Raw genomic sequence first — 23,440 nt, forward strand, 5'->3', positions numbered from 1 at the left:
TGATATCTGCCTGGTAAGAGGAATGTGAAGGGCAGAGAGCAACTGTTCTGCCAGTGGGGTTTGGTGGGAGAGGGGCAGATAATATCTGGGCTACTGATGTTAGTGGCATCTGTGCTGCAGGATTTGCCATGGGCTTTGGGAGAGGGTTGAGAATGTTCCCCTGATGAGAAAATGAGGCAGAGTAATCATGTGATGCATTCATCCCAGGCATCATGGCAGCACCCACATGCATCCTCTTCACCTGGGACTCTCCAACAGCATAAATTGGCTCCAGCCCGCAAGCCCAACTTTCCCTCAGCTGAGCCCCTTTCAGACTTCTGCCCCTGCCTCTGATCTATACTTTATTTCTCTATCCTTAAGGCAGCCTGGGTAAAACACTGCAAAGCCAAAGATTTGTCTAAATACCTGACCAGCTGTAAGCTGTGAGACTGTTTAAACATGGCTCTTGGAGAAGGTAGCCCAGAAGATGGGGTAATTTCTCAAGGTTCTTTGAAGTTCTGAATCTTCCCCCATCTCTGCCTCCAAAATAAAAGTTACTCAAGTTCACCTGTCTCAAGCAGAATGCTTAAGGACTGGGTCAAGATGGAGCCTTTCCTACATGATATAAACAGCTGGATATCCCATTCTCTCCAAGCCCACCACTGAAGTTTCCTATATCTCCTCTGGAAAGATGATTAAGGAAAATTATTGTCTCAGAAATTCCTGAGGGTCATCCAGATTGGGCTAAAATTGACAGCTGAATATGGCATTCTAGATGCTAGCTCTCAAAATGCCAGCTCTTATAAAATTCATTTATTGGAGAGGGTTAATCTTATTCTCCATCACCAGAAGGAGACTCAAGAGGAAACAGAAGGAAATTGTGGGAGAGGTTTGATTTACAGACAGGGAAAGATTGGCAGAATATCAGGGTGATGAGCTTAGGGAAATAACTAAACTGCTGTAAGAAAGTCCCAAAAATATGGTGCTAGACATTTATTTGTCTCTCACAATAGTCTAAGATGGGTAGACAGGCTCCTTTATTCCACAAAGACATTCAGAAACCCAGGTTCTTTCCATTTTGCATCTCCACCATTCTCTTTATTAAAATATATTTTATTTATTTTTTATTTTATTTATTTATTTTTAGATGGAGTCTTGCTCTCTGTCACCCAGGCTGGAGTGCAGTGGCGCGATCTCAGCTCACTGCAACCTCTACCTCCCAGGCTCAAGCAATTCTCCTGTCTCAGCCTCCCGAGTAGCTGGGATTACAGGCGCACACCACCACACCTGGCTAATTTTTGTATTTTTAATAGAAATGGGGTTTCACCACGTTGGCCGAGCTGGTCTCAAACTCCTGACCTCAAGCAATCCACCCACCTAGGCCTCCCAAAGTGCTGAGATTACAGATGTGAGCCACCATGCCTGGCCACTTTACGTTTTACTTTGGAATGTGGCATCTGTCTATTGTCTTTAGGACTCAGCTGAAACTAAAATGAAAAGCGTTTCTCATTTTATCTCCTGATTCATTGTCTTTTAACAGTTTATAAAGCACTTTCAGACACTAGATCTTATTTGACCCTTGCCATACCCTCCGTGTTACAGAAATCATTCCCCAATTGGCACTATCACTGCCTTGCTGCTCCTGCAGCTGCCTCCTTCTCTGATGGATTTCATCATTTCTGCTGCTGTTGCTGTCGCTGCTGTTGCTGTCGCTGCTGCTGCTACAACTGCTGGCTCAAATACTTTCCTTGTCTTGTTGGCAACACACCATGGTTAAGTCCCAGCTGAGGGTTCCCAGTAGGAGAAGGAAGGAGTGGAAGAACAGGAAAATAAAGTGAAGAGGAAATAAAGAGAGGCCAGCTTGTACTATAGCATTAGTGTTACACAGCTCTATACTAGGGCTAATTATCTCCCAAATCTCCTAGAGGAAGTTCTCTATATCTCCACATTCCAGGAAGCAGCAAGGTGGCTCACAACTATCCAGGAATCCTGTCCGGACTGGGCATGGTGGTTCACGCCTGTAATCCCAGCACTTTAGGAGGCCAAGGTGGGTGGGTCACCAGAGATCAGGAGTTCAAGACCAGCCTGGCCAACATGGCAAAACCCCGTCTCTACTAAAAACACAAAAATTAGCCAGGCGTGGTGCTGTGGGCCTATAATCCCAGCTACTCAGGAGGCTGAGGCAGGAGAATTGCTTGAACCCAGGAGGCAGAGGCTGCAGTGAGCCAAGATCACACCACTGCACTCCAGCTTGGGCAATAGAGTGAGACTCCATCTTAAAAAAAAAAAAAAAAAAAAGAATTCTGTCCCCTCCTTGGGTAGAATGAATTATTATTCCCAATTCCTTACCTCCTACGTCAGTGTGATCTTCCAGACCACACATAGGACAGAGTATTATTTCCCCACTACATCAAGGTTGAACTTGGCCATGCAACCTGCTTTAGCCAATGAAATGTTAGCAGATATGACTAAGTTGAAATGAAAAATGTGCTTGCCTGGTGTCATTTGGCTTCTTGTGCTCTGTGATTGCCAGAAGAGAGCTGCACTCTCTATCTACCTACATCCCAGAATGAAACATTTAGAACAGACCTGATCCCAACCCAAATCCTGGCTCCTAAAGTAGAGTCTCCTCCCCAACCCAACCCATCAGCAATCCACCAGACCCAGGAGCAAGAAAAATAAATGCTGTTGTAAGCCACTGAGTTTTTGGGTGGCTTATAACACAGCAAAGACACTGACAAATACTCTTCCTCACTCCTCTACTTCTCCAAAGAGTCCTCTTTACTCTCCCACCACGAACCCTAACCCCCCTTAATTAGCAAGATTCTTCGTTGTGTGCATGCAGATTCTGTACCTCCTTTGGTGATCTGCATTACATTTGGTTAAAATATGTTTACTGATCCCTTACTTTATGGTTAGTTGCCTAGAAAGGGGATTTAGATACGGTCCTATCCTTTGTCCCATTACAAACCCAGGGAGGGAATCTAAAATTCCCACCCAGAATAATCCAACCAGTAACTAATATAAACAGATCCTTAATCAAAATCTAATGCAACTCCTTTCTGCTCCCTACATAAAATCATCAAAGTTGAGAGTGCATACATATTTTTTTGTAGATGTTTACTTTGCACTTAAGAAATAAGGCCAGGCACAGTGGCTCATGCCTGTAATCCCAGCACTTTGGGCGGCCGAGGCGGGTGGATCACCCAAGATCAGGAGTTTGAGACCAGCCTGGCCAACACGGTGAAACCCCGTCTCTACTAAAAATACAAAAAATTAGCCAGACGTAGTGGTGGACGCGTACAATCCCAGCTACTCGGGAGGCTGAAGCAGGAGAATTGCTTGGACCCAGGAGGCGGAGGTTGCAGTGAGCTGAGATCACACCGTTGCACTCTAGCCTGGGTGATGAGTGAAACTTCATCTCAAAAAAAAAAAAAAAAAAGAAAGAAAGAAAAGTTAATTCTTTTGTTTGGGACACTTCTTTTAACAGAGCTTTGGATGTGGAGTGTTTTCATTCAATCCTAGAAGCACAACATTGTTCTTTTTAGTCTTTTAAAAATCAACTAGGGCCAGCACGGTGGCTCACGCCTATAATTCCAGCAGTTTGGGAGGCTGAGGCAGGCGGATTACTTGAGGCCAGGAGTTTGAGACCAGCCTGGACAACATGGTGAAACCCCATGTCTACTAAAAATACAAAAATTAGCCAAGCGTGGTGGTGCATGCCTGTAATCCCAGCTACTCGGGAGGCTGAAGCACTTAAACCCAGGAGGCAGAGACTGCAGTGAGTTGAGATCGCTCCACTGCACTCCAGCCTGGGTGATGGAGTGAGACCCTGTCAAAAAAAAAAAGGGCCAGGCACGATGGCTCATGCCTGTAATCTCAGCACTTTGGGAGGCCGAGGCAGGCAAATCATGAGGTCAGGAGTTTGAGACCAGCCTGACCAACATAGTGAAACCCCGACTCTACTAAAAATACAAAAATTAGCCGGGCGTGGTGGTGCACGCCTGTAATCCCAGCTACTCAGGAGGCTGAGGCAGGAGAATGGCTTGAACCTGGGAGGAGGAGGTTACAGTGAACCGAGATCACGCCACTGCACTCCTGCCTGGGAGACAGAGCAAGACTCTATCTCAAAAAAAAAAAAAAAAAAAAAAAAAATCAACTGAAGAGTAGCTGAGGCAGCTTTTATGAAGAAAAAACCAGACATCTCACATGTCCAGATATCAAGATCTATTACAATGCTATGGTAATTAAGATAGCATAGTATTGGTGAAAAGACAGGTGAACAGATGAGTGGAACAGAATGGTGACTTTCACAAATATGATCACCTGACAGGACAAAGTTGGCACTGTACTGATGTAAGGAAAGCATGGTATTTTCAATAAATGGCAATGATTCGGCTGGCTACCTATGGCTGCTTTTGTTATCTTTTGCTCATCTCAAAGCTGTCTGTGGTATTAGAAGAGCAAGAAACATACACACGTCTATGATTGTAGCCAGCAAGACATGAACTTTTCTGCCCATTTAAAAAAACAAAACAAAAAGCAGTAGCAGAGGTAACAGTGGACTTTTTTGATCATCCCCAAATCTGGATGTAAATTGGACTTTGAAGCAGTTTGCCTCAGAGCGCTGAATTCAAACACATGTCCTAAAAACTTGACCTACCTTTTTTTAATGCTGCATCCAAAGAGCAAGTGCAGAGGGAAGGGGGCTACACTAAAAGAAAAGCAAGCAATCATTTTGCCCCACAGTAGAGACCACCCCAGGGCACAGTGGCCACTAGTAGAAGCGGCAGTTCTCTGGACAGGAAAAACTGCCATTCCATACAGAAGTAATGCTTTGATCTTCCACTGTATTATTTTATTGAAAGCCAATAAGCTTTCTTTATTAGGAAGGAGATGCTGGGCACGGTGGCTCACGCCTGTAATCCCAGCACTTTGGGAAGCCGAGGCAGGTAGATTATGAGGTCAGGAGATTGAGACCATCCTGGCTAACATGGTGAAACCCCATCTCTACTAAAAATACAAAAAATTAGCCGGGTGTGATGGTGGGCGCCTGTAGTCCCAGCTACTCAGGAGGCTGAGGCAGGAGAATGGCGTGAACCCGGGAGGCGGAGCTTGCAGTGAGCCGAGATCGCGCCACTGCACCCCAGCCTGGGTGACAGAGCAAGACTCCGTCTCAAAAAAAAAAAAAAAAGAAAAGGAAAGGAAAAGAAGGAAGGAGATTAGGAAAGATTAGGCTTGTTGCTCTCATTTTTGTTCCAGCAACACTGACCTCACGGTTAAAGGGGAAAAAAAGAAAATCCTTGATTCCTTTGCTGATGACTACGGCCAAGAGTAGGGGAACTTTGAATAGAAACTTCACCAGAGACACATGGATGGCAAATAAGCAGCTGATGAAAAGCTGCTCAACTCATTAATCATTAGGGAAGAGCTAATTAAAACTACAATGGAATATAACCACACCCATTAGAATTGTTAAAATTTTAAAAAGGCTGACCATATATGTGTCCCTCCAAAATTCACATGTTGGAACCTAATATCTAATGTGATATTACTAAGAGATAGGGCCTTTGGGGAAGTGATTAAGTCTTGAGGGCTCCACCCTCATAAACTACTTAGTGCCTTTATAAAAGAGGCTTCAGAGAGCTGCCTGGGCCTTCCTTCTCTTCCATGTGAGGACACAGCATTAGTCCCCTCTTGCCCTTCCACCTTCTGCTGTGTGCCGATGCAACAAAAAGGCACCAACTTGGAAGCAGAGAGCAGCCCTCACCAGACACTGAACCTGCCATCATCTTGATCTTGGACTTCCCAGTCTCCAGAACTGTGATAAATAATTTATTTTATTTCTAAATTACCCTATCTGGCCAAGCACAGTGGCTCACGCCTGTAATCCTAGCACTTTGGGAGTCTGAGGCGGGCGGATCAGAAGATCAGGAGTTCAAGACCAGCCTGGCCAGCATGGTGAAACCCTGTCTCTACTAAAAATACAAAAAATTAGCTGGGCATGGTGGCGCACGCCTGTAGTCCCAGCTACTCAGGAGGCTGAGGCAGAAGAATTGCTTGAACCCGGCAGGCAGAGGTGGCAGTGAGCCGAGATCACGCCATTGCACTCCAGCCTGGGCGACAGAGTGAGACGCTGTCTCAAATAAATAAATATATAAATTACCCTAAAGGTATTTTGTTATATAGCAGTACACTAGACTGAGACCCTAGACCCAAAAAAATGCATATTATATAATTCCATTTATATAAAACTCAAAAAATGTAAACTAATCTATGTGACAAAAAGCAGAGTAGTGATTGCTTTGGAATAGGGAATAGGAATGGGAGAGAGAGGAACTCAAGGAAAGTTTTGGCGTGATGGATATGCTTACTATCTTTATTGTGGGGATGGTTTCGTAAGTGTATATATGTGCCAAAAGGTATCAAGTTGTACACTTTAAATAGGTGCAATTTTTTGTTTGACAATTATGACTCAATAAAGCTGTTAAAAAATAAAATTGGTAACAGTCAACCACAAATAAGACAATAAAATATAAATCTCAAAATTGCTCTATGGCTAAAGAGAAAGAGGTTTGACTAAAACTTTGAGTTATATCCAATGAATGTGGAATAAACACATTACAAGAATATGAACTCATATGGGGCACAACGTAAAAATTATCTCATTGATGAATCTATTTGCATTCTTATGCCAGCTCTTCCATTAATTACTTAGTGCTATGAGTTGAATCGTGTCCCCCAAAGAATGACATGTTGAAGTCCTAACCCCCAGTATCTCAAGAATATGACCTGGAAATAGTGTCATTACAGATGTATTAGTTTGGTGCAAAAGTAATTATGGTTTTTGCCATTTTTAATAATTAGTTAAGATGAAGTCATACTGAAGTAGGGTGGGCCCCTAATCCAATATAACTAGTGTCCTTATAAGATGGCCATGTAAAGATAGAAAAACAGAGAGAACTCCTTGTGACAATGAAGACAGAGATTGGAGTTATGAAGCTGCAAGCCAAGGAATATCAAAAACAGCCCACAAACCAGCAAAAGCTAGGAAGAGGCAAGGAAGAATTCTTTCATTCCTACAAGTTTCAGAGAACATGGCCGTGCCAATACTTTCAGCCATCTAGTCTCCAGAACTGAGACAAATTTCTATTGTTTTAAGCCACCCAGTTTGCTGTTTTGTTATGGCAGCCTTGGGAAACTAACACACTTGGTGTTACTGGTAAGTAGTTAATATTTCTAGGCCTTGATTTCCTCACTTTTACTTAAGAGGGTTGGACCAGATTATATATAAAATTACTTGGGAAAATTCATTAGTCTCTTATGACCTGGCTGCCTCATCTGTAAAATGGAGATAATTATATAACAATGCCTGGCACATGCAAGCACTAACTGTAAGCTGATAATTACACAAACCAGTAATAGCAGTAGTGACTCTTTCAGTTCTGGCAATCTATGGCCTATAACCAATCCCAAAGGATATGAGGTTTATATGTCCAGTGAATTCTAGAAACAACAATTCAACAGGAAGAAAAATACCCTACAGTTTTTGGATGAGGGCAAAATAAGGAGTCAGACAACCAGAAAGGAGTCCTAAATAGCTGTGACAAAGGGTCAGACACAGGAAGGCAGGCATTCTCATAGCAGTAGGTCCTTCCACTTCCTCCACTACTTTACATTTCATGGTAAGCCCATCCCAACTTTACCCGAGCCCCTCCAGGAGTGAGAACACTCTCTCCCATACAGGTTCCTGCTGCTAAGTGGCTCACCCAGTCTGATCATGGTACCACTTTTATTAGATTTTTCTACTAATTATTCAATGCAAATATACACCAGGCACTACACAGGAGAAGGGATACAGCAGGGAGTAAAACAGTAAGTCCCTTATTACAGTTCTAGAGTCTAAAAGGGGAAACAAACATTAAACAAATAATTTTACAAATACTCATATATTACAAATGTGAGGGTACTATGAAGACAAAGGACAGAGAGCACATCCACGTCAGGGGTCAAAGGACAACTCCCTGAGAAAATTAATTCTAAGATGAAACCTGTAGGATAGGTAGAAGTTAACCAGGAATAAGTGTCAAAGATAATTTGGAGGAAACAGGCAGAGAGGAAAGGTATGTGCAAAGCTCTAAAGCAAAGCTTTCCACATTTGTGGAACAGAAAGAAGTCATGAGAGATAAGGCTGGAGAGGTAGGCTGGAGACAGACTGTGTGGCCATCATAGCCCATAGCAAGGAGTTTGATCTTCACCCTAAGTTCAAGGGGGAGTTACTGAAGGGTTTTTAAGCAAAGGAGTAATAGAAGATTTGCATTTCCCAAAGATCACTCTTGCAGCAGTGTGAAAAATAGGTAAGAGGGGTAGGTATGGCTATAAGGATATAATGGAGTGCTACTGTAGCCTTTCAGATGAGACGATTCAATGTCATAGATTAGGATGGTTGTAGACTTGGAAAGAAATGGTTAGAGAAATGCATTGGTAAAATGTGATTGGTGTCAGGGACCTTGGGATGCTGCTTCCAGCAGCTCAAAACCCCACCACTGAGATTCTGCTGAACAGAATTCTTCTGGAGAATGAGAGCCAGACATGTTAGCCAGGAGAACCCAGAGCAGAAGTCTGCTTCAGAAGCTGTGTCATCTAGAGGGAACCTGAGTTTCTGTACTTCATGATGCTTTTTCAAGCAGATCTAGAGGCTACAGACACTCCTAACAATGGGTGATGTGTCACTGATAAATGACTAGGGACTGGGAGCAGGGAAAGATAGAAAATAGGTTCTTGGAAAGGTATGTGATTATTCTCCAGCCTTCTTTTTGTCACTTTTCCTTCTTCACCAGGTTACTGGGGCCCAACTGAGCTGGCTGAGGAGTAACCCCTGCCCCTTTACAGTGCCTCATCCGTCACAGGTTGTTTCTCCTCCACCTTTCCACCTCTGTGCTTTCTTTCCCTCTCATCTCCCCTTTCCACTCTCACCTCACTTCCCCCGCTTCTCATCTTCCCCCCACTGTCTCCGAGTGTAGGGAGATTTCCCCAACCTTAGAGGTCCCCTCAAGAGGGTACTGTCTCCCTAGTCCCCTCTTGTCACTGCAGCCATGGTGGCCTATGCAGACTTGGGCCAGAGGGGACAGACAGATCCTGGTCTGAAGGCAGACTTTTCCCCAGACTACAGTAAAACTGACTGTTGCACCATGCTTCAGCTTTGTGTCCAGCATTTTTTCTGCAGCTGAAGACAGTGACAACAAGCTAGTAATGCTAAAAATTTAACTCAACAAATATTTGTGACCTGCCTGCCTTCCTTCCTTCCTTCTTTCCTTCTTTCTTTCCTTCTTTCTTTCTTTCCTTCTTTCCTTCTTTCTTTCCTTCTTTCTTTCCTTCTTTCTCTTTCTCTCTCTCTCTTTCTCTCTCTCTCTCTTTCTTTCTTTTTCTTCGGTCTCCCTCTGTTGCCGAGGCTGGACTGTACTGCCGTGATCTCGGCTCACTGCAACCTCCCTGCCTCGGGCTCCCGTGATTCTCCTGCCTCGGCCTGCCGAGTGCCTGGGATTGCAGGCACGTGCCGCCACGCCTGACTGGTTTTTGTATTTTTGGTGGAGACGGGGTTTCGCCTTGTTGGCCGGGCTGGTCTCCAGCTCCTGACTTCGAGTGATCTGCCCGCCTCGGCCTCCCGAGGTGCTGGGATTGCAGATGGAGTCTCGCTCACTCAATGCTCAATGTTGCCCAGGCTGGAGTGCAGTGGCGTGATCTCGGCTCACTACAACCTCCACCTCCCAGCCGCCTGCCTTGTCCTCCCAAAGTGCTAAGATTACAGCCTCTGCCCGGCTGCCACCCCATCTAGGAAGTGAGGAACATCTCTGCCTGGCCGCCCATCGTCTGGGATGTGAGAAGCCCCTCTGCCCGGCCGCCCCGTCTGGGAAGTGAGGAGCGCCTCTTCCCGGCCGCCACCCCATCTAGGAAGTGAGGAGCATCTCTGCCTGGCCGCCCCATCTGGGATGTGAGGAGCGCTGCTGCCCGGCCACCCCGTCTGGGAAGTGAGGAGCGCCTCTGCCCGGTCGCCCTGTCTGGGAGGTGAGGAGCGCCTCTGCCCGGCCGCCACCCCGTCTGGGAGGTGAGGAGTGTCTCTGCCCGGCCACCACCCTGTCTAGGAAGTGAGGAGTGCCTCTGCCCGGCCGCCACCCCGTCTGGGAAGTGAGAAGTGCCTCTGCCCGGCCACCAACCCGTCTGGGATGTGAGGAGCGTCTCTGCCTGGCCGCCCCGTCTGGGAAGTGAGGAGCGCCTCTGCCCGGATGCCCCGTCTGGGAGGTGAGGAGCGCCTCTGCCCGGCCGCCCCGTCTGGGATGTGAGGAGTGCCTCTGCCTGGCCGCCCCGTCTGGGATGTGAAGAGCGCCTCTGCCCAGCCACCACCCCGTCTGGGATGTGAGGAGCACCTCTGCCCGGCCACCACCCCGTCTGGGAAGTGAGGAGCGCCTCTGCCCGGCCGCCCCGTCTGGGAGGTGAGGAGCACCTCTGCCCGGCCGCCCATTGTCTGGGAGGTGGGGAGCGCCTCTGCCCGGCCGCCCATCGTCTGGGAGGTGGGGAGCTCCTCTACCCGGCCGCCAACCCGTCTGAGAGGTGAGGAGCACCTCTGCCCGGCCGCCACCCCATCTGGGAAGTGAGGAGCGCCTCTGCCCAGCCGCCCCGTCTGGGAGGTGAGGAGCACCTCTGCCTGGCCGCTGTGCAATCTTCCAAGTGTGAAGTGACAGCCTTTCTGCAGGTGTACCCAACAGCTCTGAAGAGACAGCAACCATCGAGAACGGGCCATGATGACGATGGCAGTTTTGTCGAAAAGAAAAGGGGGAAATGTGGGGAAAAGAAAGAGAGATCAGATTGTTACTGTGTCTGTGTAGAAAGAAGTAGACATAGGAGATTCCAAAAAAAAAAAAAAAGTTGTGAGCATTGGCCATATACATAGCTACCAGGAATTCATTATTTATCAAGGATAAGACCAATGCCATCACAGTTCTGGCACACCATAGGGAATAATACCTAGCATACTTAGAACACTACTAGCTTAATATAATGAATAATATATTCATTCATATCAGGTTCATCTATATGTCAATAAATGCTCAAATACAAGGCAAGTGAGAAGCAGGTGAGGGACTAAAGAAAGAAAAGTCATGAATAGGATATATGCTTAACAGGGATACCTTCTTAAGACATATGTCATTAGGCAATTTCATCATTGTGCAATCATAGAGTACACCTACACAAACCGAGATGGTATAGCCTACCACCCACCTACACTCTATGGTATAGCATATTGCTCCTAAGTTACAAATCCGTACAGCATGTGACTGCACTGAATACTATAGGCAACTGTAACACAATGGTAAGTATTTGTGTATGTAAACATAGCAAAACATAGAAAAGGTACACTAAAAATACCATATTATAACCTTATGGCACCACCATCACATATGTAGTCCATCCGTGACCAAAATGTTATGTGGTGCATGACTATATGCTTTAGGTAGCATGTGGGTGCAAAATGAGTTACTCCACACTAAGACTTGTATAAAACACATGCAAAGTTACTTTAAAAATATAAAACAGCCCTAGGCCAAGATTTGACTGAAACATTTATTGATATTAACATTTTCTTTTGGTTTGTGTGTGTTTTCTTTTTTTTAAGAGGTAGGGCCTCGCTCTGTGGCCCAGGCTGGAGTATAGTGGCATGATCGTGGCTCACTGCAACCTCAAAATTTCTGGGCTCAGGTAATCCTCCCGCCTCAGCCTCATGAGTAGCTAGCACTACAGGTGCACAGCACTGTTGTACCAGGCTAATTTTTTTCTTTTTTTTTTTTTTTTTTTTTTAGAGATGGGGGTCTGTCTCTCTATGATGCCCAAGCTGGTCTTGAACTCCTGGCCTCAAGTGATACTCCCACCCTGGCCTCCCACAGTGCTGTGATTATAGGTGTGAGCCTCCATACCCAGCCAGTTTGTGTATTTTTGATAGCCCTAGCATAACCTTTTGGTCTCCTAGGGTAACGCAGCTAAGAGTCAGACGATTCTGGCTCACAAAATCTCAGGATAGTATATTACTGTATAATAGCTGCTGGACACCATGAAAAATAGGACATGGTCCAAAGTGTCCCCCCACCACCCTTTTCTTTCTTTGAGACGGAGTCTCGCTCTGTCACCCAGGCTGGAGTGCAGTGGCATGATCTTGGCTCACTGCAACCTCTGCCTCCCAGGTTCAAGCAACTCTCATGCCTAAGCCTCCCAAGTAGCTGGGATTACAGGTGCACACCACCATGTCCAGCTAATTTTTGTATTATTAGTAAAGACAGGGTTTCACCACGTTAGCCAGGCTGGTCTCAGACTCTTGAACTCAAGTGATCTGCTTGCCTTGGCCTTCCGAAGTGCTGGGATTACAGGTGTGAGCCACCACACCTGGCCCCAAAGGATCCATTTTTTAACACACACACACTGGTTGCAGAAAACGACATTCCCATTACATCATTTCCACCCTTTTACTATTACCATGACATTCAAGGGTAATAAAGGAAGAAGCCTGATACTGCAACCTTATACCTCATTCAGAGCCTCTAGTCAAAGTCACTTCCCTACCTGTTTCTTGTCACCTGGGCATCCTAAGACATTTTGCTCCACAAGTTAGCATGTGGGAATTCCCTCCATGCCTGTCATCAACAAATCAAAAGAATATCATAGAGTTGACCTATCAACAAGTGAAAGGTAAGGGGATGAGCATTCTAAAACAAAGGAGTACAAACTGTTACTAGGTCCAGTGTTTGAGATAATGAAAATCTACAGGCTTATATTTTTGTAAACAGGAGAATAAATCATAAAATTTATATAAATGGCTACCTACAAGGTAAGGGAAAGAACGGACCAGAAATACAAGGGATAGAAGTTATTCTTTAAAACAAATGAGCACTGAGGTTATATTTTAATTCTATCATCTTACTGTTCTTGAGAATGGAGATGGTCAGCATGAAAAAAATGATGTACAGATATAAGACAGAAGAGGTTATGTTAAAGTCCCTAGTTCTGAATGTGAAATGTCATTATGAAATTATGAGGCATTATATCTATCTCTGTTCACTGAAAAAGTGTAGAAACAATGACGATTATATCTGCAATGGACATCCCTAGCACTGAGATTGTAAACCATCATTTCTTATTAAAAAGAAACCAGAGCTCTTGGCCGGGCGCAGTGGCTCACACCTGTAATCCCAACACTTTGGGAGGCTGAGGCGGGTGGATCACAAGGTCAGGAGATTGAGACCATCCTGGCTAACATGGTGAAACCCAGTCTGTACTAAAAATACAAAAAATTTGCCGGGTGGGGTGGCGGGCGCCTGTAATCCCAGCCACTAGGGAGGCTGAGGCAGGAGAATGGTGTGAACCCAGGAGGTGGAGCTTGCAGTGAGTCAAGATCACGCCACTGCACACCAGCCTGGGGGAGAGAGCGAGACTCCATCTCAAAAAAAAAAAGAAAAAAAAAAAGGAAACCAGAACTCCTTGTAGAAATGGGTGATTCTGGCTTTCAAGTAGGAAATGAACAAGCCTAAAACATATTGACATTTAAATTGCAAAGCCTACTGAGGCCACATCAAAAGGACTCAGACGTGAACTGAAGAACATCTCCTTGGGCAAAAATAGGACAATGTAGGTACTAGTAAGTTTTTTTTTTTTTTTTTTTGAGATGGAGTTTCGCTCTTGTCACCCAGGCTGGAGTGCAATGGCGCAATCTCAGCTCACTGCAACCTCCGCCTCCCGGGTTCAAGCGATTCTCCTACCTCAGCCTCCCAAGTAGCTGGGATTACAGGCGTCCGTCACCACACCCAGCTAATTTTTGTATTTTTAGTAGAGATGGGGTTTCACCATGTTGGTCCAGGCTGGTCTCGAACTCCTGACCTCAGGTGATCCACCCGCCTCGGCCACCCAAAGTGCTGGGATTACAGGCATGAGGCACCGCATCTGGCCTTTCATTATAATTTTTAAAACTCTGATTACTTTTGAAGGTTGCTAATGACCCAATTCATTATTTTGAAAAATAGTCAATAAAGAAAAAGGGTTAAGTATTGTTATGGTTTGAATGTTTGTGACCCCAGAAATTCCTTAATCTTTTTTAAAATTAATTTGTTTGCTAATCTTCTTTTTATCATTCCAATTTTAGTATATGTGCAGCCGAAGCGAGCATCCAAAATTCTTATGTTGAAATCCTAACCCACAAGGTGATATTACTAAGAGGTGGGGCCTTTGAGGAGGTGATTAGTCATGAGGGCTTTGCCTTCATGAATGGGATTAGTGCCCTTATAGAGACCCCAGAGAGCTAGCTAACTAGCCTCTTCCACCATGTGAGGACAGAGCAAGAAGATGCTGCTGGCTAGGCTCGGTGGCTCATGCCTATAATCCCAGCACTTGGAAGGCCGAGGCGGGTGGATCATGAGGTCAGGAGTTCAAGACCAGCCTGGTCAACATAGTGAAACCCCCTCTCTACTAAAAATTAGCCAGGCGTGGTGGCGGGCACCTGTAATCCCAGCTACTTGGGAGGCTGAGGCAAGAGAATCGCTTGAACCCGGGAGGCGGAGGTTGTGGCGAGCGGAGATCGCGCCACTGCAAGACTCCGTCACAAAAAAAAAAAAAAAAAAAAAAAAAAAAGGTGCTGCCTTAAGAAAGTAGACCCCCTTGCCAGACACTGAATCTGCTAATGCCTTGATCTTGGATTTCCCAGTCTTCAGAACTGTGAGAAATAAACTTCTGCTGTTTGTAAACCACCTAGTTTATAGCATTTTGTTACAGCAGCCTGAACAGACTAAGTATTTATCCTGCTTTTCCTATGCAAACTATACCACTGGGTATCCAAATAATGGATAAAGAGAAATTTCTTCAGTTTTCCAAATAATAGATAAAAAAGAAATAAATTCACAATATTGCCATTTTACAACACCTAATGAATCAACAGATCTCAGCAATGAGCATCAAAAGGCTGCTACCAGCACAAAAAGAGACAACCAGACATTACATGCCTACTGACAGAAGACACCACCACCTATGAAGATCACACCTCTGGACCCAACTGCCAACTTGCAGGAAATACCAACAGAATAACATGTTAGACTACAGTATGGAGGTGCAATCTGCTAAATCCAGACTATGAAAACTATACAGGAACAACCACCTATTTTCTCCAAAACAAAATTAGGAGAAAGAGAGCAACCTATAGATTAAAAGAAACTTATAAGGCATTATCATCAAGTCACCATATTGTGTGAACTTCATTTGAATTATAACTTAAATGATCAACCTACATACATATTTACATACATACACACAAAAATATGACAACTAGAAATTGGAAAACTGACTCAATACTTGATATTAAAGAATTATTGCTAATTTTTAAAGTATGATATTTGTGTATCTTTTAGAGATACATAACAAAATATTTACAGATTAAATGATACATCTGAGATGTGCTTCAAAATAATACATACAGGAAGAAAATGGGTGGCCATGAATTGATGTCAGAAGAAACTATCCAAGAAGGCAACAAAAAGATGAAAAATTTCCATGTAAGAGGTATAGAGTAAGAAGATATTTAGCACAGATTTAATCAGAATCTCAGAGGGAGACAGAAGATTCTGGCTTGGACTTCCAGAACAATACTAAATAGAAATGTTAATAGTGGGCAAACTTCTCTTAATCCTGATTTCAAAGAGAAACTTCAAAAAACTTGCTGGAGTATTTTTTGTAGATACTATCAGGCTAACAAATCTTTTCTACTCCTAGCTTCACTAAGTTAAAAAAAAATCACATATGGTTATTAAATATTATTTTTAAAACGCTGCATCTATTGAGATTACTTTTCTTCTTTAATCTCTAATGTGTTGAAACACAGCTATATAAAATCTTTATTTAATATAAACAATTGCCCTACTGTATTAGAGATCTGAAAAATTACAAAAGGAACACTGCAGTATCACAGATTAGTAACTAAAGGAAGCAGCTACCACCCTATGGCAAGGGAAACAAAAGGAAAAGTTTGAAAGAAAGGGCCCTGCAGACCTGAGACTCAAATTTTGAGAAACGGTTGCTGCTTGGCTGCTAAAGGTACCTCAGGATCTCAGAAGAGGAGCTTGAAGGAGGGACCCCACACATCTGGGACTCTGACCTTTGAGAAGGAATGCTGGCTGGCCGGTACTGTACATCTGAAGAGGCACAATGAGGGTGGTTCTGGGAGTGCAGAAAAAAAACTGCAAACTGGAACCAAGTGATGCTGTCAGAATGAGGAGTTGTTACTGAGAGAATGCTGACAGAGACAGAAAGCAAAGAGAAGGAAAGTGTCCCGGGCCAGGTGCGGTGGCTCACGCCTGTAATCCCAGCACTTTGGGAGGTCAAGGTGGGTGGATCACTTGAGGCCAGGAATTCAAGACCAGCCTAGCCAACATGGTGAAACCCATTCTCTACTAAAAATACAAAAATTAGCTGGGTGTGATGGCAGGCACCTGTAATCCCAGCTACTCAGGAGGCTGAGGCAGGAGAATAGCTTGAACCTGGCAGGCAGAGACTGTAGTGAGCCGAGATGGCACCACTGCACTCCAGCCTGGGCAACAAAGTGAGACCCATCTTGAAGAAAAAAAAAAGAAAAAGGAAAATGTCTCTTCTAGCCCTACAATCTGCCTTTAGTAGTCCCTACAGGCCAGCCAGCTGACAAAGGAGAAATGTGATTTGCAGAGTTCTAGTCCCAGCAAACAACAGTGTAAAAACCAGCACAACACTCCTTTAAAAGAACCAAGTAGGATAATTTGCTATACCAGACAGAAATCATCACTTATTATAAAACAAAAGTAATTCTAATAGTGTAATGTTAACAGAGATACAAAAACAGACCAATGGAAACCAACAGAGAGCCCAAAATCAGACCATTTGACAAAATTGGCACTGCATGGGAGCAGAGAAAAACCACGTGACAGACAGTCATATGGGAAAAAAAAAATTGGATCTCTACCTCCCTTATACCCAAAAACAAATTCCAGCTGGGCATCACGGCACACACCTGTATTCCCAACTTCTTGGGAGATTGAGGCAGAAGGATCACTTGCGCTCAGGAGTTCCAGGCCAGCCTGGGCAACATAAGCAAGATTCCCCACCTCAAAAAACAAAATAAATTGGTTAAACCCCTATGGAGAACTAGCTTTACATTATCTAGTAAAGCTATAAATACATCTACCCTATGACCCAAATTACACTGCTGGGCATCCCACAAAGATATGTAGGCACATGTGCAACAGCTATATACATGTTCGGTTTTTTTGTTTTTTTTAAAGCGACAGGGTGTTGGTATCACCCAAGCTGGAGTGTAATATCACCCAAGCTGGAGTTAAGATCACAGATCACTGTAACCTCAAACTCCTGGGCTTAAGAGATCCTCTCATCTCAGCCTCCTAAGTAGCTGGGACTACAGGCACATGCCACCATGCCCAGCTTTTTTATTTTTTATTTTTATAGAGACAGGGTCTCACTATGTTGCCTGAGCTGATCTGGAACTCCTGGACTCAAGCAATCTTCCCACCTCAGCTTCTCAAAGCACTGGGATTATAGGTGTAAGCCACCGTGCCCGGCCCTTAATATACAAAAATATTAATGACTAATTCTTGAAATATCCAAAACTGGAAACAATCGTCTCTCAACATTACAGTGAATAAATAGTGATGTAGTCATATAGTAAAATTCTACACATAGTAGAATAATAGTGTAGTAAGTCCCAGTTACTCAGGAGGCTGAGACAGGGGAATCACTTGAACCCAGGAGGCGTAGGCTGCAGGGAGCCAAGATCGCACCATTGCACTCCAGCCTGGCAACACAGCAAGACTCTGTCTCAAAAAAAAAAAAAAAAAAAAGAAAGAAAAAAAAAAAAGAAAAAAAGTAGTAAATTTCTATATATATAGTAATGAAAATAAATGAAAACATCTTTATGTAGACAAAGAGGATGAATCTTACAACTTTGCTGGGAGGGGAGCAAGGCAAAATAATACAAGCCGTATAGGCACTGCTACTTCTAATAGTAAGTCAGCAGATTAAATATTTAACTGTAAACATGAAGACTGAGTTACTATCTTGTCTACAGAATCGTACTTTTCCCTTACAAATGAATGAACCTATAGACATGGCTGGATTTGCTATTTTACTTGTATTCATTCAATGTCAGCATTAACTCATCATTGAAAAACTTGGGATGAAGTGATGCCTGAGCTGAAAAGAGAGAACTTATACTTTTAAAATAATAAGTTACCATTTTCTGAGGGTTTACATGTTTCTGAGTTTCTAATTCTTTGTTTTTCACTTTATCTCACAATACTTCTAGGTGAGTGTTACCCCTATTACACAGTCGAGAAAACTGAGGTTCAGAGAGGTAGTGATTCAAAGTCACAAAGTTCTCAGAGTAAGTGGCAAAACCAGGATTCAATCCAGGTCCTTCTGAATTCAAACCCCATGTACTTGGCTACATTTCAGTTTCCTTTTCAAATAAATCTAAGAATGGCTGGAGAATAGCCTGTAAGAGAAAGAACATTTCAGGATGACTGCCCATAGATAAATATGATCAGATTATGAAGTCTTAAATGCCATGCTGAAGCAGCTGGTTGTTTTGTTTTTTCCTGACAACAATGAGGTGTAACTGAAGGCTAGGGGTTGCCATAAGCAGTGAGAGACAGGATAAAGTTTTCAAGATCATTCTGGCTGCAGTACGGATTGAAAAAGGGTGAGACTGAGAGACCAACTAGGAGACGACTGCCTTTCTCAAGAGAAAGGATGAGGGCCTAAACCAGGAGTCACACATGAAGCATAAAGGAGTGAAGCAGGCAGGTTTTCTAAGACAGTTCCTTGCTGGCTGTCAGTTTTGGTAGAGGGGTCATCCTTAACAACTAGAGACCTCTCTCCAGTCTTTGCAGACATCCAGAACCAACAGGTCATTGAAACCTTCTCACGCTATTGCTTCTGATCACAGCTGGGAAAGGTTCTCTGCTTTTAAGGAGTCATGATTATATTGGGTCCACCTGGATAATCCAGGCTATTCTCCATCTCAAAACCCTTAACCTTGACCACATCTTAAGTTCTTTTTGCCATTTTACAATAGCATATTCACAGATCCCAGGGATTAGGATGTGGACATCTTTGGGATGATTATTCTGCCTATACAGTTGGTACTCCCTCACACAACTGTAACTGAATTAACACGTGCAGCAACCCTAGCCTGAGAAGGGTATGATTACCAAAGGCTCAAGACTTGCCAGGAATTAAGGTAGGTTCACACCACCAGGCAAACCAAGACCTACCATCGTAATAACTGAGGGAATTTAGAATGTATAGTAGAGTGGGGAGATGTGATTACCAGTTGCAGCCCCCAAGACAAACTGTAGCTATGAGGGCTGTAATTTGTACCCCTAAGTTTCTCCTTTAAAAGGCCCCCAGGAATCATAAACATGCATGGGAGAAGTGGATCTGACAAAAGGCTGCAGCCATGGAGGTATGCCGCCCTGATTTCAAGAGAATGAGCTGCAGTTAACTGACAGCTTCCAGCATCCTAACCTTTGGATCTACCAAGGTATCACACTTCCCTCAGGTTGCTGCCAGTGACTGAGCACAAGGGTATTAGGCCATTTCTTCTAACAGACCTTTGTTTAGAGACTCATTACCAGGGCCAAAACTTTCTCAGTAACATGGTGCAGCCTGAGGCCCCTCCTACCCCCTCTTCCTGTTTTCTCTGCACCTAATGAGAGCCAGAACCTTGGAGAATGGTAGCCAAACATAGCCTTCCCAAAACTCACCACAGCTGAGTCTGCAAGCATGCGTGGCTATCAGAATTTCTGAGGCACTAAGAGTAGATTCCCTGGCCCTCATTCCCCAGAAAGTGCTGACGGGCCTATTAATTTACTTTTTAGCAATCATGCTGGGTGATATATATGCTAGTGGTCTGTAAATTACATTTTTTTAAACAACAGGAAGAGGATATCTAAGCAGTCATGTTTAAGCTCATAGCTGTGTAAGAAGTAACGTTTGTCTTAGCTAGGCATGATGGTACGTAAGTCCCAGATTTAAGAGGCTGAAGCAGGGGAATGGCTTGAGCCCAGTTTGAGACTGCAGTGAACTATAATCATGACACTGCTCTCCAGCCTGGGTGACATAGTCAGATCACATCTCAAATATAAACACACACATAAATAAAAAGTAATGTTTGTCTTTGTGGATAAAGTATAAAATGCACTAGACTAGGCTAGGCATGGTGGCTCACACCTATAATCCCAGCATTTTGGGAGGCTGAGGCAGGCAGATCACCTGAGGTCAGGAGTTCGAGACCAGCCTGGCCAACATGGCAAAACTCCATCTCTACTAAAAATACAAAATATAACCAGGCATGGTGGCACATGCCTGTAATCCCAGCTACTCGGGAGGCTGAGGCAGGAGAATCATTTGAATCTAGGAGATGCAGGTTGCAGTGAGCCGAGATTGAGCCACGGCACTCCAGCCTAGGTGACAGAGCCAGACTCCGTCTCAAAAAAAAAAAAAAAAAAAAGTACTAGACTAGAGAATCAAAAAAGCAGTGGGAACTACAAACTTAAAAAGAGTATCACTGGAAGACCCAGTAAAGGCAATCTCCCCAGTGGTTCATCTGATGGGCCTTTTATGAGTTACTTTCAACCATTCTCTGAATGTAAATGCTTAAAGTTAAGATGATGGTATAACTGTAAGCCATTCTGTGCCCATTTCAGTTCTTATAGAAAGTAATCTTTTGCCCTCCTTGTCATAATGCAGTATAGAAATAGACAATTTCTAGCATAGGTACCTCAACCCTAACTGAACTTCTATTTTAATCCTGCTCTAAGATTCAGTGTCAAAACGATCTTGACAATACCTATCTATGTCTATCTTAGTGATCCAGCATCAGGCCCAATTTCTCTATGTTTTAAGTATATTCCTACCACTAGAGAATTCTGAGATGGTATTAGCATTATTTTTTTAAAAATAATTATTTAAAATTTAAAAATATAGACACAGGGTCTCACCACATTGCCCAGACTGGTCTTGAAGTCCTGAGCTCAAGTGATCCGCCTACCTCAGCCTCCCAAAGTGCTGGGATTACAGGCGTAAGCCACCACGTCTGGCAGAGATGGCATTGGCATTAATCGTGAGAAATGGGAGTGGGTGTAGGAGACACAGAGTGGAGGGTAAAAAGAAGAAAGATATTTGGAACTGATGGGCTTTAATAAGTCCTGCCCCTTTTCATTTACTTCTTCCTTCAAAGCAAAACCAAAATGAGCTACTGAAGATTTATTTACTTCTTGGGATGGAAGTATCATCTGTCCCAACTTCCCTTTCCCATCAGAGACAGGTCCCCAAAACCGCGAAAAAGAAACTATATTCTCAAACAAAACATGCATTCAATTCAGGTGACTGTTTGATATTTTCATAACATTTTCTTTAACATTTAATAGAAACTATATACAATAAATTTTTACTATATTTTACATAAGATAGCAACCACAGAAATTTACATAGGTTAAAAGCAAGACGGATAAGGAGGACCCAGTCCTGTGGGCTGTTTTCTCAGAGGATAAAAAGCCAGAGTTCACCAGGGAAAGGGGTTAAAGACTGCCCAATTAAGTAGAGGTGAAGAAAAGCTAAACTGCAGGTCTTCAGATAGAGATAACCGATATTAGGGCCATCAGTATCTCAAAGACACCACTCACAAAGACAGCTCCCACCTAGCTACTTAAGTGGATTTCTATCCATGACTTGGGAAATCCCATTACAAAGATGTCACTTTCCTTTTAGGTATAGTCCCAAATAATCCCAGAAGCTTTGATAGGGATTATCTCTCTTTCTCTTCCTTGCCCTGAGTGGGAAGAAACCCACGGTCCACGTCCTCAAAATTTGGCTTTACGTTTGACTATAATACTCAATCCAGAAGAAAAACAAGGTAGTCTGGGTTGCCTGTGTTTTGTGAGAGATGATCAGAAATACTTCTTTGAAGAACGAGAAATTTAAATCCACCAAAGTAAAATGGTTCCCCAAACTATCAACTAATAGAAGTGGGTTCTGGCTTCCCATTTGCAGTAGCCAATCCACTCTGAGACAATGGTGCAGAGGCTTTCTCAGAATTTCGAGATCCCTGGGATCTGCACCCATCTCCAGCCATCTGCATCTGGCCCTGTTAAAAGAAATAAAGGCACTTCAGTTAGTAATTCATTCACTGTGGTCTGAAGTATGAATCTGACTTATCAGTGGCCACTTAAACTAGCAATAAGAACAATACAACAGAAATTAATTCTGGACAGATGCTCTTCCCATATTAGCTATCCTAGTCCCTTGGAAGAGCCTATTCCTGAGCCTCTTCCAATGGGATGGTGAGCTGTAGGTTGTTTCTTCCAAATGAAATAGCCATTCCCTACTGAGGTCCCAGAACAGCCAACAGACCACAGGAAGACAGTCCTTTAGGCCTCTGCTTGAAACCAACAGCCACAGTACAACTGCTGGTCTTCAGTCAGGGCCACTGGAATTCTACCCAAGGCTCACGGACAGAACTCAAATCACATTACTTTACTGGTCCTTCTACAATGAGAACAATTTCAGTGATGAACTCTCCCTCAGAAGGTATGATTTCCCTAGATTCCTTGTCTCAAGCTTTTATTTAAATAAATGTATGTCCTACTCTGGGATATGAGGATCACGGGCCATTAGGTGTTCTAAGAGCCCATCTGGAGAACTACAGCAACAAGGGTACACAGGAGCAGAGTAGGGCATTTTTAAAAGTGCTTTGCTTATATGGTATTCAATAAGTGAGAGACATGTGGAGCATCTTTATACTAGTGATGACACCCCACTCCCCTCCAGGAGCACATGCTATCTAGCAGGGAACCCTCTGCCTGGCCAGGTCACTACATGAGGGAAACAGGTGGGACTGTTCTTCACTTGCCAAAATATCCACTGGGTCTTCAGCAATTTCTTTGACTAAATGATCTTCAAGGGTTAGTGAAGGATCAAAAAGCAAAGGTGAAGGAGGACACTGCATACCATCACCCACAACATCCAAGTCCTAGAAAAAAGAGAAAAGCCCATCAGCAATACCAAGGGAAACAGTAATAAAGTTGGCATGTTTTTCAGCAAACTTTAAAGCAATACTCTGCTGTCTCCCTCAACCCTAGCCTACCTTTAATAAAAAAAAAATTTTACAAGAGCGTCCAACAAATGAAACAAGATCCAAAAGCACTGAGAGCTTTTGCTGCCAAGTGTAAAACATAGACCAATACAGTAGATTAAAAAACAAAATTCTGGCCACCACACCTCTAATCCCAGCACTTTGGGAGGCCAAGGTAGGCATATCACTTGAGCCCAGGAGTTCAAGACCAGCCTGGGCAACATGGTGAAACCCCGTCTCTACAAAAACTGCAAAAAT

The 23,440-nt window shown here is 43.7% G+C and overlaps 2 protein-coding genes and 2 non-coding genes across 4 annotated transcripts in view; all 4 read right to left on the bottom strand.

The window, feature by feature from the left end:
- Nucleotides 1-6,329: 6,329 nt before the first annotated feature.
- LOC124902928 (uncharacterized) lies at nucleotides 6,330-11,671 on the bottom strand. The gene has a single exon (XM_047429953.1). The coding sequence runs from the start codon at nucleotides 10,968-10,970 to the stop codon at nucleotides 9,927-9,929; it is 1,044 nt and encodes a 347-aa protein (XP_047285909.1). The 5' UTR covers nucleotides 10,971-11,671; the 3' UTR covers nucleotides 6,330-9,926.
- Nucleotides 11,672-21,230: 9,559 nt separating this feature from the next.
- The window catches only part of KANSL2 (KAT8 regulatory NSL complex subunit 2), a 29,028-nt gene continuing 26,818 nt past the window's right edge, over nucleotides 21,231-23,440 (bottom strand). Inside the window, exons 9-10 of the mRNA NM_017822.4 lie at nucleotides 22,961-23,080; nucleotides 21,231-22,195 (exon numbers count right to left, since the gene is read on the bottom strand). Coding sequence (NP_060292.3) covers nucleotides 22,064-22,195; nucleotides 22,961-23,080 — 252 coding nt within the window. The 3' untranslated portion in view covers nucleotides 21,231-22,063. The remainder of the gene's footprint in view (nucleotides 22,196-22,960; nucleotides 23,081-23,440) is intronic.
- On the bottom strand, nucleotides 22,402-22,538 carry SNORA2C (small nucleolar RNA, H/ACA box 2C). The gene has a single exon (NR_002968.1). It is a non-coding gene; the product is annotated as a small nucleolar RNA, H/ACA box 2C (small nucleolar RNA).
- On the bottom strand, nucleotides 22,464-22,550 carry MIR1291 (microRNA 1291). The gene has a single exon (NR_031623.1). It is a non-coding gene; the product is annotated as a microRNA 1291 (primary transcript).

The sequence above is a fragment of the Homo sapiens genome, chromosome 12, assembly GCF_000001405.40.
Source record: "Homo sapiens chromosome 12, GRCh38.p14 Primary Assembly".
Lineage (NCBI taxonomy): Eukaryota > Metazoa > Chordata > Mammalia > Primates > Hominidae > Homo > Homo sapiens.

Coding starts and splice junctions, on each gene's coding strand:
- LOC124902928 (XM_047429953.1), bottom strand. CDS start 10,970: ATGGCATTGGTCTTATCCTTGATAAATAATGAATTCCTGGTAGCTATG.